Source organism: Homo sapiens, chromosome 2, assembly GCF_000001405.40.
Source record: "Homo sapiens chromosome 2, GRCh38.p14 Primary Assembly".
NCBI lineage: Eukaryota > Metazoa > Chordata > Mammalia > Primates > Hominidae > Homo > Homo sapiens.
This window is the reverse complement of record NC_000002.12, coordinates 111,709,497-111,728,179: the sequence shown is the minus strand read 5'-3', so window position 1 is coordinate 111,728,179 and position 18,683 is coordinate 111,709,497. Positions and strand designations below refer to the sequence as shown.

The following is an 18,683-nucleotide window of genomic DNA, read 5'->3' as shown; positions in this document are numbered from 1 at the left end:
GTCTATGGATGAGATGACTCTAGTTTTGAACTCTGGGTTTTGCAGAAGAGTTTGCATTATCCTCCTCCTGAGGAAAGCAGATACATCCGCCACGATGCATGTGAGTCAGGTCTTCTGCGTGTCCTCTGAATCAGGTTCGCATGTGTGCCTCTAATGGCAGTTTCGAGTTCATCCTGTGTTGAGATAATGCCTGAAGGCGAGAGGAAAAAATATCTGTGGTTGTCAAATCGGGTGGAAAGTGATTAATCATGGAGACATTTACGGCATGCTGAACTGTTTCGTTTCCTGACCTTTATCCCACGTGCGTTAGGGGCAGGCGGGGTCAAGTTTAAATCCAAGATGACAAGTGTCTGAGGCTAAGGAAGGTTTCTGCTGAATACTTGGCTTAGAGTCAATGGCTCCGTGTCTCACACCTGGTGAAAACCGACTCGCAATTGAAAGAAACAGCATGGGAGTGTCAAACACTTGCTGACTTGGCCTTGGGCTAGAGCTTCTTGCGAGGGTTTTAGAACTGACACACCCTTTGGATGTGCTGGGGGCATCTGGTTTTTGGTGCCTGAGTCACAAATCCTGGAATACATTTGCCCACAGTGTTTCCATACCATTGGAAGTGCATTATGGCTGCTTCTCTTAGAGTCCTTTAACCTCTTCCTCAAGAGCCAGCTTTGTCAACTTGATGTATCTCATGGCAGGCATGGACTCATGCCTGTGTGTCCCATTGTATCCCCAGATCATGGGATTTGTGGGATTCAGCCAGTGTGATTTACTAATCACTAGGTCCAGGGCCAAGTTTAGGTGAGGTTCACTCCATCTAAGCTGTGTTTTGGGGGAGGGAGGGTCTCTATTTTTTCATTTAGAGAAGTGACTAGACACTAGAAAATGTCACAGAGTAAACGTATGGACTACAGCTTGTTTTCTGAAAAGGTTTAGGGATCCCGTGTTAGTATTGAAAGACCCTTTGAGGCCTCATCCCCTCCACCCAGTGGGCACACAGGCCTCTGACCTTCAGCGCCAAGTCTCCCTTGAGGTCACCTTCTCTTCATCTTTCACTTCTTTTCTCTTCCTTTCACCCCTGCTGGTTGCAGCGACAAGGTCCCTGCCAACTGCGGTGTGCACACTGGCGGGCCTTCACCTCCCTTAAAATCCAGCTCTCGAAATGCCTGCAAGGGAGCAGCCTGCAATATTACCTAATTTGTCTTTAATCTGGTATTCCTAGAATAATCCAGAGAATAGAGTGGCCTACTGTACACACTCTGGATTACTCAATAAAGAACATGATGGGAAACGGCAGTATTTTTCTGTTTTAAAATAAGTAGGTTTGGAGGGAGCTGGGAAACTGCGGGCTTTAGTTACAAAATGACTATAATTGTGGGAGACGTATTTTCTTTGAATGTTGAAACACATTGGACAGGATATACAATTTAGAAATAATTTACAGTTAGAGAAAGGCCCTTTCATCTGAGAGGGGGCACATCTTCTGATTGGAAAGGATGGTCCCAGGGGATGAGGGATCGGGCCCCAGGTGAGCTTCATCTTTTTCTCTTCCAACTTCAGTGTGGCCAAACAGAGCGGAAAGTCATCACGTAGAAGGACAAAGTCTGTGTTTTTTTGTTTTTGTTTTTGTTTTCTCTCATGAGAGAAGCAGGCAAGTGCTGCCTGAGAAGGTGAAGGCTCACCTGTGGCAGGCTTGCTTCAAGCTGGCTGCAGACTGAAGGCCACCCAGAGGCTTTGGTCACCAAGGGTGGCATGATGGGTGGCCTTCTCCTTGCTCATGCAGCTCTCACCAGCAAATTTCTACTGAATGCCCACTCTGTGCAGGGTACTGTGCCAAGCACGAGGGATGCCAGGACCCGGAAGAAAGAACTCTGTTAGAGAACCACAGCTGATAGCTGCCAGTCAGCAGTAAAGGTTCAAAGCTTGGCCTGGCCAAGGAGCTATCACGGAGGGCTCTGTGGACCAGGGTCTTGTAGTGGGAGTGTGTCAGCAGAGTGGAGGGGTTGGAGGAGTGAGCCCAGGTATGCAGGGGTATGGATGGGCCGAGAGCCTTGGGCCTGGCCTGGCTGAAGGCTGTCCTGTTGAGGCACTGGCACGTGGGCTTGGGAGGCAGACGGATGACCAGACACGGCCCCACAGAGATCAGCCCAAAGCGCTTGGACCTAGGGCATCTGGGATGGTTCTTGAGGTGAGCGCATGAAGCCTTGTTTTAGACACATACACTAGAGGGCTCCAGCCTCCCTGCAAGCCCTCCTCCTCTCTCTCTCCTCACTGTTGAGGCGAGTGCTGTGTCTGCCTTAGATTCCTTCTGCAGGCCTCTGTCTGCCTGCCAGCAGATGCCTCTATGTCTGTCAGCCCTCAGAATGTCAGGCACATGCACTACCCACTGTGTGTGTGGGGTGTGTGTGTGTGTGAACATGTCAGATACCCACACAGGCTCTCCACTGTTCAGTGTGTCTCCAGTCTGGGACCTGGGGGTGGAAATAGTCACCGTCTACATCCATCTTCTTCTGCTTCTCTCTTAGGCATTTCCAACTCAACATACACCAGCCTGAACTCTTTATCCACATCCCTTTCCAGCATGCTCTTCCTCCAGCCCCTACTGACCCCATCACAGGAAAAAGCCATTCTGTTCTTCCAGTTACTCAGGGCGACAGCCTCGGAGTCATCATCGATGTCTTTTTCCTCTCACACCTGACACCTGACCTGTGGCCATCCTGTTGACTCTCCCCTTGAAATACATCCAGAATCCAGCCCCTTGTCCCCACTCCAGCACTCACAGTCACATTGCACCTGGTCTGGACCCCAGCAAGTGCTGCCCTGTGGGACTCCCTGCTTCTCCCCTTGCTCCACACTGTCTATTCTCTGTAGCCTTTAAGAACAAGTCAGGTCATTTCACTGTCCTGCTCAAAACCATCAAATCGTTTCCCGTTTCCTTCAGAATGACATTCACAGTCCTTTCCGTCACAGCTCTGCGTGGCCTGTGGTGCCTCTGTATCCTCATCTCTGACTTAGTTTACTCCACCCCATTCTCCTCCTTCACCAGACTCCCAGGCACTCCTTCACGAGCAGCATGCACCTGCCCCAGAGCCTTGGCACCAGCTGCTTTCCCTACCCAGAACACTCTCCTTCCCACATCTTCACAGCCAGCTGTTTCATTCCCTCCAAGTCCCTTATCAGAGAGGCTTTTTCAGTCACTTTGAGTAAAACAGAAACCTACCTTTTCATCATTCTTGACCCCTTAACTAAACTTGCTTGAGTTTTTGTTGTTGTTGTTTGCTCGTTTTTTACTTATTACCACTTGACATCACTTTTGTGGGAACCCCCTTGCTTTTATGGAAATATGTAAGAGTAAAGAACTTCATCTTATTTTCCGATTATCCCCAGGTCCTAGAACAGTGCTGGCATTTGGAAGCTGTTCAGTATTTGCTGAATAAATGAAATGAATTATGCTGTGATTCATTGTGTGTTTGGAGGTGTTTGGAGGGACTGGCATGGGAGGATTGGATTCTACGGTGGTAATAGTGACATGGCATGATGAAGGCATGGAGTAGAGGGGCGGCCACAGAAATGCAAAGGAAGGATGACTGAGGGAGAGGCCTCTAGCTCGGTTGTTGCAGGACAGGGATGCTTGACTGGCAGTGCCTTGGATGACTCGTTATAAGAGCTGTACTCCAGACTCAGGATATGCTTTAACCATAGGTTTTCAGATTTCTCCTGGGGTCCAGTCAACTCCCATGCCAGTCCCTTGTTCCATGATCCCAGGCCCTGCTCCAATTCCTTAACTCTCATTCTGTAACCGTAACCCAAATGGCTAAGCCTGAGGATGCAGGCTGACCTTTAGAGAAAAAGTTGAACTTTCTCTTTAAAGCTAAGTGGGAAAAAAACAATGATGGATAAAATGTAAAGATGTACAAAGGTACCAGTTTGTACCTGGGTGTTTGAATTTCTTTACATTTTGCTGTCAGTTGTACATGGCCATTTGAAATGAGTAATTTAATATTCTGCTGATTTTTAAATACATAGATCATTTTCATGGCACTACATAGTAAATCTGTGCTTTGCTTGTCTGCTATCTGTGTGTTTAGGTTCACACCAGTTCTGGTCGTGAAGCTATAGCTCAGGCATTATCATGGACTTCCTAGAAGCTGCCTTGCCAGCAAGGAGCCTAAGAGGTGTTCAGAAAAATTATCCAAAACTTGGAAATAAGGAAAGAGGATGACTCTATGTCCTTTAAAGTCCAGATCAGAGCATTGTCTATTAGATCCACTCAAGGATTATTTAAATCTCAAGGAGAATGTAACTTTGCTTCACATACTGTTTACTAGTAACTGGCTGCCTGTCAACTTGTGGGAGATAAGCTGGATACAATTTTGTCCAGTACAGATGCAAATGATTCCCTTCCCTTCCCTTCCCTTCCCTTCCCTTCCCTTCCCTCCCCTCCCCTCCCCTCCCCTCCCCTCCCGTCCCCTCCCCTCCCCTCCCCTCCCCTTCACCTCCCTCCCTCCCTCCTTCTCTCTTTCTTTTCTTTTCTCTTTTCTTTTCTCCCTTCCTTCCTTCCTTCCTTCCTTCCTTCCTTCCTTCCTTCCTTTCTTTCTTTCTTTCTTTCTTTCTTTCTTTCTTTTCTTTTCTTTTCTTTTCTTTTCTCTCACTCATTCTGTCACCCAGGCTAGAGTGCAGTGGCATGATCTCAGCTCATTGCAACCTCTGCCTTCCGGGTTCAAGTGATTCTCCTGCCTCAGCCTCCCAAGTAGCTGGGACCACTGGTGTGCACCACCACGCCTGGCTAATTTTTGTATTTTTAGTAGAGGTGGGGTTCTGTTATGTTGCCCAGGTTGGTCTTGAATTCCTGAGCTCAAGCAATCCACCCACTTTGGCCTCCCAAAGTGCTGGGATTATAGACATGAGCCACCGCATCCAGCCAGCTCTTTTATGTTTAAATCGGCCAAGCGTGATTGATTTCCTTCAGGTTCAAAAGATTACCCAAACATTACAGTTGTATTGTGCCATAGAACATTAACCAGTTTTGTATGTAACTTAGCAAACTTTTTTCAGCATTCTTTCTGACATACGATACATCTGTGTTCCTCAAATGCTTTGAGAATCAGCTTTTCCATCCTATGGGTTCCCTCAGTAATGAGTTAAAGAATTGTGCTTGCTACATGTATGAGGGTATGAGAGCCAAGTTCCTAATATTTTGAAAATGATGTTTTGATGGAGGAGATAAAAAGTCTCCTGTGTTAGCTATATATACCCAAACCTACAAAATGATGTCAAGTACCATAGAATGTATACAAAAGACATAACCTACTCCTCCCACCAATTTCTATTTTATTAGCATGCATTTCTCAGGAAAGACTGTTCAAAAGGTAAGGAGAGAATACCATTCTACCATTCTGCCAATTCAAGTTAGACCAGCTATTTCTCTTTGCTTATTCACTTCCTGTTTTCTCTTAATAAATTTATTTAAAGACAATTTATTAGAGAAAAAGTTGTCTTACAAATGCGAATTGTTAAGTTGTCTTACTGATGTGATCCAGCAATCCATCCTGGCCGGCACCCTGCCAGGTCTGTAATTAAGACTGGGGGTTTGCTCTGCAAGGACACATTCTCCACCTTTGTCTGGGGGGCTCTGTACTCAGTCTTGCGGTTTGTCTGTGGAGCTGAGGTGCTGGTTGGGAATCAGGAGACGTCAGTTCCGGTCTCAGCAAAGCTGCTGCGAGGTGCGGGGCAGAGGCCTGGTTTACCTGGTATACCACATGCCCTTGACTTCCCTGTGGTAGGTGCCCCTGATTCCGCTCCAGCTCTTGCTTTGCATGTAATTTACACTGAGGTTGCAAACAACTGCTTATTCCTGTGGGACTTAGTTTTTTCCTTAGGGCCAATCTGAAAAACTTACCTCCTTAGTTACATCCTACGGATTTGCAGACAAATAGGGGAAAGAAATGGAAGAAATAAGGGAAAATGTTATCCAAAGTTGGAAATAATAGAAGATTACTCTATGTGCTTTCGATGTCATACTAGAAGAAGCCGCTTTATGTAACACCATTATTCTGAATGGAGAAATCTGTGGTTGCTTTAGTCATGGAGACTACATCACAACTAGGGTTTTCCTTTTTTTTTGAGATGTGTGTGATGGGGGAGAATAGGGGTACAGCATTCTAGAAATGGCCTCATTTTGCATTTCCTTAGGTCCCAAGTTAAAATAACTTTCTGTTCTAAGAAGCTTTAAAAGTGGTTCATGGACCAGGCACGGTGGCTCACGCCTGTAATCCCAGCACTTTGGGAGGCTGAGGTGGGCGTATCACCTGAGGTCCAGAGATTGAGACCATCCTGGCCAACATGGTGAAACCCCATCTCTACTAAAAATACAAAAAAATTTGCTGGGCATGGTGGCGTGTGCCTGTAGTCCCTGCTACTTGGGAGGCTGAGGCAGGAGAATTGTTTCAACCCAGGAGGCAGAGGTTGTAGTGAGCCAAGATCCTGCCACTTCACTCCAGCCTGGTGACAGAGCTAGACTCAGTCTCAAAATAAAGTGGTTCATTTCTTTCTAAAATCATTGATTGAACATTAAAAAACATTGGTAAGAAAAATTGAACCAAGAAGGTTTTGGGTTATACTGTAGGTCAGTGAGCTTTAAGTTTCTGTGTCTCTGAAGCTACATGGCTGGACGATAGCTGAAGTCAGTGCCCCGAGTGAAGCCTGAAGAGGAGCTGATGGATTTTTCTGGTGGGGAAGGCCTGTGACTGCACTCAGAGAGAGCTGGGCCAGGCGGGGTGAGGCACGGTCACTCTGAGTTCACAGACCCACTCTGATCCTTGAATGGGTCTGTCCTGAAATAATGGGGAATCCTGGAACATGCTGCTTTGTGTAGACGCCTTTCTCCTTTGCAACTTTTAAAGGTATTTGTCCCCTGGGTTTCATTTGAAATGCTTTTTTTTTCCTTCTTCTTTTTTTTTTTTGCCAGATGCTTTCACTAGGAGCAGTATCCAGAAAGCTATGTTTCTAACCTACCTTGTTGTTTGCCTCTTGGGCAAATGGGTTTGTTTACCTTATTGACTCAGTTCAGTGGAAAATATTACCCTGATTGGGATGGAGATGGGGCTGCTGTTCTGAAATAACTACGCAAGTTTACCTGTTCAGGTGGGACACAGCTTCTTGTGTTAGTCACGGATGAATTTTGAAAATTTATACATAGTGCAATAAATGCTGGTTTCTTTCCCCTTCCTCACTCCTTCCTGGGGCCTATATGTGTGTATCTCTAACACACATACACACACACGCAGGCACACACACACTCATACACATGCACACTCACACACAAGAGGATACGTTGCATATACAGCTCAATGCTACAAAGAAGCCCTTTTACCAGAAGAGCACACGGGAACTCCGCTGAAGTTTGACAGGGTGATTGTCTTGTGGCTACTCTACCTTGAGGCCAGAGCACAGTGAGGGCCTCCCTCCTGCCCCCAGCCACACCAAAGAGGGGGCAGGGGGTCACAGGGAGCAAAAGAGGAGCTTTTTGCCATCACCATGAGACGGTGACCACAGGAGCCTGGCTCGAAGGTGAGGGTGGGGCTGGTGACTGGTGCCTGTGGATTCCAGAGTGGTTGGCCTACACAGCCTACTGAGAGGTAGAGCATGGTCCTTTGCGTCCCTGTGGACTCCGAGTGCCTGCCATGGTTTGGAAGGTCCACTGAAGGCTGAGTGCTCAGCGGCGTTGCCAGCCAGCTGGATGCATGTAAACAGCATTGTGAATGGAGAACATTCTTTCACCTTATTCTTGCACATTCTTCTCCCATACTTAGCTTCTTATCCTTCCTATCTACTCATCTAGCTAGCAATCCCTAAAATTAAATCATTTATAAATGAGTCCGATGAGGGTCTTTTTTTGAAAACTGGATTTAGTGAATAAGGCAGACCCCTGTTTTTGGATAGGGCTTTGCCTCTTGTTATTAAGGAGGAATAACTTGTTCCCAACTTGGTTGGTGACCCCAGCTGAGGAGGAACAAGTGGCAGATGAGTCCCAGGGAAGACCCCTAGGGGGAATGGCTGGAGGTAGCTGTACCAGGGATGAAAAGGGTGGGGGTGGTGATGAGGGGAACGCAGCCCTTCATGCAAAGAAGTGGGTGTTTGAAATCAGTGGGTGACTATTTTTTTGGCAATGTGGGCTCCTTAGGTCATATACAGTGGCCTTAGAAAGCCAGCCCTGCCTCTCTTCCCTCAACTGATGGTGGATTTGTGTAATGAGATCACCGTCTTCTTGAAAAACACTTCCAGGGTAGCTCATTACAAAGCCTCGCACAGTGTTCGGAGCAGGGCGAGCTGCAAGGCCCCGGGCTTTCCATTCTGAAAGAGCTGTGGGTGTCGGGGTGGCTGCCAGCTGTGAGAGCTCTGTGGGTGGGGACTCTGTCCCTCAAAGCCACGCACTCAGGCTTGCCCATTCTAGTGTCTCCGTGGGAGACACAAAGCTGAGGTTTCTCTAGGAATGGGGAGCTCCAGCTGGAAGGATATGGAATTTGAATGCAGCATCTGCCTTTAGCTCAGCCCCGAAGAGAGTCAGACAGAATCTGGTGAGAAGGAGGCCACTGAGTGATCTGATGTCCCCTCATCTGGCCTGGACCTTTTTTTAAGTGAAACTCAGCCCAGCCCTCAGGTGCGTCCCCCGGCATCCCAATCACCTGCGAACTGTGATTCCCTCTCAGGGCTTCGGTAAGTGATTCAGTGGAGGCAGCCAGCAATTAAAAGAAGCAATTAAAGATCTTTTATTAAAAGATCTTTATGACAGGCTGGGCAAGGTGGCCTGGGCCTGTAATCCCAGAGCTTTGGGAGGCTGAGGAGGGAGGATCACTTGAGCTCAGGAATTTGAGACCAGCCTGAGCAACATAGTGAGCCCCTCCCTGTCTTTACAAAAAATGAAAAAAATTAGCCAGACATGGCTAAAAAACAATCTTTACGACAAATTGTTAAATAAAGAATGTAAGTGATGGAATGATATATGTAGCAGATTTTTATCTGTATGTATGCAAATATATAAAGTTCTGTAAGATTGCACACTAAACCATTGGCACAGATGGAGAGTAAAGAACTTTAATTTTTTACTCTATAGGCTTTCCCCCCCACAACATTTCAGATATTCTTTTTTTATTTTTTGAGACAGGGGCTTGCTCTGCTGCCCAAGCTGGACTGCAGTGGCACCAACATAACTCACTGCAGCCTTCACCTCCCAGGCTCAAGCAATCCTCCCACCTCAGCCTCCCAAGTAGCTGGGACTACAGTGCAGTGGTCACCATATCTGGCTAATATTTTATTGTTTGTAGAGACAGGGTCTCACTATTTGTCCAGGCTGGTCTCAAACTCCTGGCCTCAAGCGATCCTCCTGCCTCAGTCTCCCAAAGTGCTGGGATTACAGGCATGTGCCACTATGCCCAGCCAGCAGATACCCTTGAAAACGTGATGTATCATATAATACAAGCAATGTGCACTCTCCTTGCTATTTGAAATGCCTCTGAAAATGAAAACCTAATTCTTCACTAAAAAATTGTGTTGCGGCGGGGCGCGGTGGCTCACGCCTGTAATCCCAGCACTTTGGGAGGCCAAGGTGGGCGGATCACGAGGTCAGGAAATCGAGACCATCCTGGCTAACACGGTGAAACCCTGTCTCTACTAAAAATACAAAAAGTTAGCCGGGTGTGGTGACACACACCTGTAATCCCAGCTACTTGGGAGGCTGAGGCAGAAGAATCGCTTGAACCCGGGAGGCAGAGCTTCCAGTGAACTGAGATCATGCCACTGCACTCCAGCCCAGGAGACAGTGCGAGACTCCATCTCAAACAAACAAACAAACAAAACCCAAAAAACAACAAAAACAAAAACAAAAACTTCTGTTGCATCTGACATGAAAAGGGCACATAGTCTTCAAATGTCAAGTTTTCTCCATAGCCTCCCTGTCTTGCTTGGGCTGTAACTCCTTATTCCAGCCATCTCTTTGCTAATTCCTTCAGTCATCGTGGGCTTCATTATTGTCAATTCTTAATCAAGCTTCAATTTTACAAACCCAGCCTTTACATTTTGGTGAAGCAATTTTGGGAGATTTCCCACAATTCAGGAGAAAGCATCTGGAACAATGCAAACTCGAAGAACAAAGAACACCAGAGGAGTCTCATGATGCTTTGATTTTTTCTTATTTCTTTTCTTTATCATGATAAGCTCTTTTTTTTGTTTGTTTTCAACTGTGCGTTGCCTTATTCTCATATACTTGGATTAAAAAAAATCAAGTTACTAGATTTGTACAAGACTGTCCTGACGGCAGAGATTCTCTTGAAGTAGTTTCACTACTTAACCATTCTCTGTTGATGAACTCATCATAACCAAGTTCTTCTGTCAGAGGACTAGTAGCTTCAGACGCAGTCAGAGCTGTAGTCAGTGTTAGAATATCAGAATCCATCCTCCGAGGATTTCTCTGTTGTTCGGCATCAAACGCCGCTTCCCTTGCTCTGCAGGCCTCTGCTAATCGCCTGCGGCCTTCTGCAAGTTCCTGCATTCTGCTCGGGGCAATTGGGTAATTAATTCCTAAGACGATGACAAGTGGGTGTTGGAGGCAGAGATTCGGCAACACGGCTAGGCCTGGTCAGTTCAGGGGCTCAGACTTGGGCGTGGCCTCTACACCCTCCTCTTTGGCTGCTCTGAAAACAATCGGATGGCCCGGTCATTGTCATCGGACCTTCCCCGGCCTCCTCACGCTGTACCACCTGGGCTCCCACCTTTCTTGGCCTCCCTTTACCTGCCTGCCCAGTGTTAGACCACAGGGTCAGCTGAGCCTCTCCTAGGAAAATTGGAATAACAACAGCACAGCTGAGTGTGCACGCGCCCTCACATATCTTGCAGACTGTTGTCCCCATGTAGACATGTTCCCATGAGTAAGGACTTATCTATTATTTGAATACTTGGTACATTTATAAAAAGAAAACAATAGTGCAAGAAGAAAGAGAGAGTGTGTAGCAGGCCCCAGATGCCCGAGTTCCCCTGGGCAGAACCTCTTCCCAGCCTGGTCTCTGGCATCTGGGAAGGCCACTCTGCCTTAACTCCTGCTGGAGACACTCAGCTCACAGCTGCTGACAATTTGATGCTCAGTTTTCACTGTAACTGGGGCGGACGTCCTGGATCTCACTGAGGAGTCAGAGGAGGGTTGTTCCCTAAGGCATCTCTCCTCCTCCCCAACTCATCCACCAAAGCAGGAGTGGCCACTCTGAGAATGCAGTGAAAGCACTGGATTTGCTACCGATGCCAATGCAAATACTGCACACCTTGCATGACACCTTAAGGCCAAAGGGTCTGGGTTGGGAGCTTTTGCCTTAGGGAGGTGCTTGCTCCTTTAGCAATGAGTTCTATTCTCTGCCCTCCTTCATCTGAAAACATGCAACCCTGAGCTGCCAGCAGCCAGAGAATGCAGGACTAATGTTCAGGGGGAAGGCAAGTTGGTCCTGGGGCTTGAAGGTGTCAGGGGCTGCAGGTGGCTGCTATGGTAGAACTCTAGGAGACTGCTCAGTCTTGGGGGAGTCAAGAGCATAGCTGGGGGCTCCGCATGTCCAGGCATTTCCTAAATACACTAGTCACTGTTGCGAAACCTCCCACACCTGAAGGGGCAACCAGTCAGCTTACACTGGGCAAATCGCAGCCAGGAGCAGACTAGAGATAATGTCTGCCCTGTCCTCACCACCGCTTCCCCTCTCTTTCTCCATTTTCTCTCTCTCTTGCCTAACTCAGCAGGAGTTATAGCTACTGTTGGGTTTGCACTTAACAAAGTCTATGAGGGTCTCTGTTGACATTTTGGCAAGAGGGGCCCGGAATGCCCGTTGCGCGGTTCACCTCCATCCTCAGCCACGTCGCTGACATTTTGGAGTGAAGAAGCCCTTTGGTGAGATGCCAGTCCAATTTGGATTTTGCTCAGTGTTGAGCCTGGGCACCGGGCCCATTCCTGCATTCACTGCACATTAGGATGTGGCTGTCGGCTGAGACATTTCAGGAGAGTGGGGTAATCCTGAATGGAGTTGGCCTGCCTGGGCTCAAATTCCAGCCCTGCCATTGACCTGCTGGGTGACCATGGACAGGTTTCTTAACCTCTCTGGCACAGAGGTTCCTTGGCCATCAGTGGGGATAACAGTTGAAACCATGTTATGAAGTCACTGAGAATGAAATGAGATCTTTCTTATAGAGTTTTGTTTGCATTATTATGCCAGGCACATGAGAAGTACTTTGGAGTCATGACTTTCAATCGTGTTTGGCACCAGAGAGAGGGATTGTGGTTCTGAACCACTTCTCTGAGTAAAATAATCTCTCAGTGTCTCTCCTTCTTCCACATCACTGTGCACATAGTTTTTCTTTAAAACTTTGAATATAAAATTAGCCAGGCATGGTGGTGCACACCTGTAGTCCTAGCTACTTGGGAGGCTGAGGCAGGAGAATCGCTTGAACTTGGGAGGTAGAGGTTGAGTGAGCCGAGATCCGAGATCGCACCACTGCACTCCAGCCTGGGTGACAGAGCAAAAGACCCTGTCTCAAAAAAACCAAAAAAACCCAAAAACACTTTGAGGTGTATTTTTTGCCATTAGGGATGTGAGTCCAGTGGATCAATAGATGTCTTTGTGACTCACAGTGATGCAGATGAACCACAGTGGTGCATTCATTCATTCATTCATTCACTCATTCATTCATTCAGCAATGACTTCTCTAACTGCACATTGCTGGCTGGGCCTTCACTTCTGCACATAGTGTGCAGGGGAGCAGATATCTCAGAGTCCTGATTGAAACAGGCCCGAGTCTCGTGCTCCTTCTGGGGAGAAGTTTGCCCTTTTCAGCCCGAGGTCAGGATGGGGTGAGTGGTCACTGCCAGAGGGCCGTGTTAGGAATCATTTAGGACTCATGTGACCTGGATGGCTGCCCACTCACCTGGGGTGTGAGGGTGTGAGCTTTTCCTTTTCCTGGAAAGTTCTTTTCAAGTGTGAGGGGTGGGATGAAGACTTTGTCCACATGTTTTCTCCCTGCCCTGACTCACTTGTGGTTTTCGTTCCCAGAATCTCCTCTGCCGTGTTTTGGTTTTGAGGAAGTCGTGTGTGTGCCTTGCTTCTCTCCACTGGCCTCACCCACTTCACCACACCAGAACCTTCCAAGGAAACATTCTGGATGTGCAGTTTTCTAGCAGTTGAGAGAAGAAATGGTGAGGGACATGCTATTTTGCACCATTTTGTTCTTGAATATTTTTAGTTCAAGAAAAACAATAATACCACACCCAAACTAGCGTTCCATTGCACTCACCTTTTAGAAACACGAGAGAACCTCTTGAGCTTAGCTGTTGTGGTCCTACCTCCAGCCTCTGCCCATGCAAGCCCTGCTCTCACCTGGCTCCCAGCCGGTCTTACCTGTCCTGTTGCGTCCTTCCCAAGCCACCAGGCCACAGGGCTTTCTTTCTTCCTGTGTGGCGCTGGTCCTTTTCATTAGCTTCTGGCACATCACCCCAACTTGCCGGTGAACCCCTGAGGAGAGGGACTAAACCCTGACCTTTACAAAAGGTTTCTGTAAAATCAAATCATAATCACTGTAAATTAAAATAATGCAAACAAAACAAAAGCGCAAGGAAGAAAGTCAGTGTCAGTTACAATCCAGCCCCCTAGAGACATCCGCTGCCCATGCCAGCTGCAGCGTCCCTCTGGCTAGCTCTCTCTACACCTGTATCAGGTGCTGCTTACGGAGGTTGTTACAAGAGTGGGATGGTAATAGGCGTTGCTGCTGTGGGACTGACCAGGACTACACTGCTTTGTCATTTCTTTCTTTCTCTCTTTTTTTTTTTTTTGAGACAGAGTCTCGCACTGTCACCCTGGCTGGAGTGCAGTGGCGCGGTCTCGGCTCACTGCAACCTCCGCCTCCTGGGTTCAAGCAATTCTCCTGCCTCAGCCTCCCGAGTAGCTGGGATTACAGGTGCATGCCACCACGCCCAGCTAATTTTTTGTATTTTTAGTAGAGACAGGGTTTCACCATGTTGGCCAGGCCGGTCTTGAACTCCTGACCTCGTGATTTGCCTGCCTTGGCCTTACAAAGTGCTGGGATTACAGGCGTGAGCCACCGTGCCCAGCCTGCTTTGTCATTTCTTGCTCTTGCTTTGTCATCTGTTTCCCTTCCCAACCCAGGGGACCCATTTTTAGCGTAGTATTATGTAAGAAATAGGTACTCTAGCAAGCCTTGATTGATGGCCTTGACTGATTATTCAACACACATTTCTTTTATTATTATTATTATACTTTAAGTTCTAGGGTACATGTGCACAACTTGCAGTTTGTTACATATGTATACATGTGCCATGTTGGTGCGCTGCACCCGTTAACTCGTCATTTACATTAGGTATATCTCCTAATGCTATCCCTCCCCACTCCCCCACCCCACGACAGGCCCCAGTGTGTGATGTTCCCCACCCTGTGTCCAAGTGTTCTCATTGTTCAATTCCCACCTATGAGTGAGAACATGCGGTCAACACACATTTCTTAAGAGATAGAATGACACATGGTCAAGAACACAGCCCAGTAGCCAAACTGCCAGGGTTTGAGGCCTGCGTATATCTGGCTGACCCTGGGCAAGTAACACAAATTCTCCATGCCTCAGTTTCCATATCTTTAAAATGGGGATTAGAATAGCACCTACCTCACATGTTTATACTAATACTTGATTGTGTTATAAACAGCGCCTGCCTTGTGGCAAGTGTTTGGTGAGAGTTCTATTGACCATCTATTAATGTGCAAAGTCCTGGGAATATGGGAAGTGAAGGCTACAGCAGCTCTCACGAGTCATGCCATGCATGCAGTGAATGACACCATAAGGGCCGCTGGAGGGCAGTCAGCTTGGGATCTCTATCCATGGCAGCATTGAGAAAGGGTGCTTAAGCCAGCATGGGAGGGGCAGGAGAGCATCCTCCTGCAAGGGTGCCCTGGCCTTCCTCACCTCCCCGCCCATGCAGAGAATAACATTTGCACCACTCATACTGGGAGGTGCTGGTGGGACGAGGCTGCTCATGGCTGAAGGGGACCTGCAGGGCTCTGCATGCTCTGGACATCCTGGTTTCCCCTGCACAGCCTCCATGGCAGGGGTGAAGGACTCTGATGGTGCATGTCACACCTGAGCAGCTTGGGTGGTGAGACAGTGTTTCTTGGCTCTGTCTCTTCTCTTCTGTTGCTGTGTCCTTGATTTCAGTCCAGAAATCCTATGGGCCCTGTGTCCCCTTCTCCTGTGTTCTTCACCTCAGTGGCTGGTGATCTCCAGCTTGAGGACCATTGCAGAAGCAACAAGGAGCTTGGAAGTTTATTTCTATCCAACAAGAAAAGATCATGACTCCCTTTATTTTCTGGTCTGGATACTAGAAATGAGAGATCAGGAGAGGAGAGGCCACATAGACTTTAATTATGCCCAGGCCAGTTTCTAAAACACATTTACACTAACCAGCTGTCTTCTGAGGGTGCTAAATAAACCCCTCTCATCCGAGGCTTGCCCTCGGCCCTGGGCTGCAGCAGGAGGGCCTTCACTCACATCCCCAGTTGTGGGGCTACCTGAGTCTTGCTGCGAGCTGGCGGTGTGATTGATGTAGGGTTTTGCGAGATGGGAGCGAGCAGGGATTCTGCAGGGATTTCCTAAGTCCACTGTTTTGGTTAGATTCTCTTGTTCTTCCAGTTCCCCAACAGATTTCACCATCACATAAATCAATGCTGAAGTGAGTTGTGGCACGAGTAGTTCCAAGCAATCCATGATCAATATGTACATTTAACACTGGGGCAAATGGCTCAGTTTCCATTACAAAATTGACCTTCAATCATGTTCAGTTTGGGGTGATATGGAAAGGCAGTCTAACTGAAGAGAGCGTAGTTGGGGTGTTGGTGTAACTGCCCAGTGTGTTCTCCTTGCCCCCTGCCCAGATACAGCCAATTTATCAGGAACAGAAGAATTGCAATAGAGAAAGAGTTGAATACACACAGAGCCAGCTGAACAGGAGACCGGAGTTTTATTACTCAAGTCAGTCTCCCTGAAAATTTGGAGGCTAGGGCTAAGGATAGTTTGGTGGGCAGGGGCTAGGGGAATGGGTGCTGCTGATTAGTTGGGGATGCAATCATAGAGGTGTGGAAAATGGTTCTCATGCTGTGAGTTCACTTCTGGGTGGGAGCTTCAGGAGCAGTTGAGCCAAGAGTCATGGGTCTGGGTGGGGCCACTCGGTCATCAGAAATGCAAAATCCTGAAAGGACATCCCAAAAGGCCGATCTTAGGCTCTACAAGAGTGATGTTATCTGTGGGACTTGGTAATCATTTATGCCTACATCTTAGCAGAATTCAGCCCCTCTCATCCCCCTAACTTTGTGGTCTCTCATCAGTTTTACAAAGGTGGTTAGTTTTGGGGAAGGGCTATCATCATTGAAACTATAAACTAAATTTCTCCCAAAGTTAGCTTGCCCCAGGTCCAGGAATGACCAAGGATACTCTGGAGGTTAAAAGCAAGATGGGGGTGATTAAATCAGATCTCTTTCACTGTCATAATTTCCTCACTGTTGTAATTTTTGCAAAGGCAGTTTCATTGGGAGGTTACCTGGAGGCGGCAGGACACCTGTGCACAGGTGAGTCTGCAGGGGAGTAGGCGTTGGTCTGGAACTGCTTCTGACCTTGGGTACACAGGTCACGTGACCTCAGGCAAATCCCTTAACCTCTTAACTTTCCTTTTTTCTTTAAAACCAAGAGCAGTAAATTGTGTTCCAGATGCTAGTGGGTGTCTCACCAAGAAGGTTCCATGGGCAACTATGTCTGGAAAAAGCTGGTCTTCCACGTCCTCTCAATTACAAGTTCATTAGCATATTAAAGACTCTGCAAATACCTGCAGGAAGAAAACTGTTTGGTGTTCAGCAAGCACTTTCCCCTTGTTTTTTGACCACAAAACCTCCTTTCTGTGGTGATGGGGGGACACATTTTGGGAAATATTGGTCTAGGGGTTCTTCCTGTGCTCGAACCTTGTGATGTAAAAATTTTGCCTGCAAAGCGCATGTTGTTGACCTTGGCCTTAGCAGCCTCTGCTGAGGCCTGCTTTAGGAGGGAAAGCCTCAGGCAGCAGAGTCGCAGAGCTCGGCCCTACCACCAGCTTCCAAAACATGGCATCCAGAAGAGCTTCAGTTCAAAACCAAACCTCGCTGTAAACTTGCAACTGAAATTGTTGCAAGTTCCCTGTGGGTGAGAAACACAGGGCAGTGTGTCTGCATCCTTCCCTGTCGTGGAACCTGCCATGTCCCAGCAGCCACCAGGGTCCTGGCCCTCCCCTCCCCTCTCCCCTGGGCCGCTGTCATTAGCCCAGCTGACTCCCAGCCCCCTCCCTTCCTCTGTGCCTGGCACCCTGGTTCTGCTTTTAGAGGAGCCGGCCTTGGCTGAGCAAAGTGGCCAGCATTGGGAGGGAGCAGAATGGCTCCTGTTATTCCCTCCCTTCCTCAGTTTGGAGCAGGAAGCATCCACCTCTTCCATCCACCTGTAAGAGTCTTTCTTACATCCACCTGTAAGAGTCACCAATGACTATATCTGGAGACTTATTCGTTTCTGTGGCTTGAAAAAAGCTTTTCAAAATATGAAAATCCCTTGTATTTACATAGCTTTTTCACTCTTCGAAGGCTTCACTCATGATCTGGTTTAGTTGCCTTCAAGCCCCATGTCTGGAAAGGCAGTGGGCAGAGACATATTTTATAGACCCTGCAGCCCGCAGAGCAGAAGAGGCTGAGGGAGTCCTTCACGTTATCCTGGCAGTGGCAGGAGTTCTAAGCAGTCTCCCTCAGGATTCCCTGAGCTGTGATGGCCTAGCTCACTCCATAGATGGACGCTTCCAGGCCGGCTGGAATGCTGCCCCTTCCCGTGGATTTGGGTTGACTCCCAGGCTGACCACAGAAAGAAATGTCCCTTACTTCCAGAAGCTCAGGAGTGAGGGTGCAGAACACCCTTCCTGGGGGCTTCTGTATCAGCAACAGGGGCTTTCTTGCACTGCTTTGTCAGGATATTTGGGGCATGCGTAAGTCTAAGGCCAAATTCCTTGGCCTGCATTGGAGAAGCAATTTCCTTATCTAAACACGTGAAGGGCAAGTGGAAGAAGCCAGGTGGGGGGGCTCTAGGGGCATGCAGATGATTATGTAGAGTCAAAATAGAGTCAAAAGCACCCATGTAAGGGACATGTTGGCAGTGCTGCTGGGCTTCTTACTAGAGAGCACACTCTTTGCTGCTCCATCAGGGACATGCTGTCCAGTCTCTGGCCCCCTCTGCTGCAGCCATGGGGCTTCAGAAGCCTCAACCAGTGTTCCAGGTGGTCAGAGATGTCCTGTGAGATGGAAGCTGTTGCTTTCTTCAAGCTCCACACCGGGAGGATGAACTGTCAGTAACTTTATGTATCCTGTGGCTTATACCTGACACTTTTTCTTTGTTTTAAATCTCTCAGTGTAAACAGAGTAATTATATAACCCTTTCCTGCAACCCATTTATTACAGTGTTTAAAAAAATAATCTCAAAAGACGCTGTCCTAAGTCAGGTGTGCTGAGACATTTTGTTTTGAGTTTCCAGAATTACTGCAATCCTTTGTTGTTCGCCCTTGGTCCCTGCCCCATTTTGCTCTTGGGAACAGGAACCAGAGGCTGGCA

General features: G+C 47.8%; 2 annotated features.

Moving 5' to 3' along the window:
* Positions 7,074–7,968: an enhancer, noted in NCBI's record as "H3K27ac-H3K4me1 hESC enhancer chr2:112477789-112478683 (GRCh37/hg19 assembly coordinates)". NCBI's record gives its function as "activates a minimal SCP1, AML or CMV promoter by ChIP-STARR-seq in naive H9 embryonic stem cells {active_cell/tissue: H9 hESC(naive)}" and the evidence as "EXISTENCE:reporter gene assay evidence [ECO:0000049][PMID:30033119]".
* Positions 13,978–14,198: a silencer, noted in NCBI's record as "fragment chr2:112471559-112471779 (GRCh37/hg19 assembly coordinates)". NCBI's record gives its function as "represses an EF-1alpha promoter that drives an FKBP-Casp9 reporter gene in an ReSE screen in K562 erythroleukemia cells {active_cell/tissue: K562}" and the evidence as "EXISTENCE:reporter gene assay evidence [ECO:0000049][PMID:32094911]".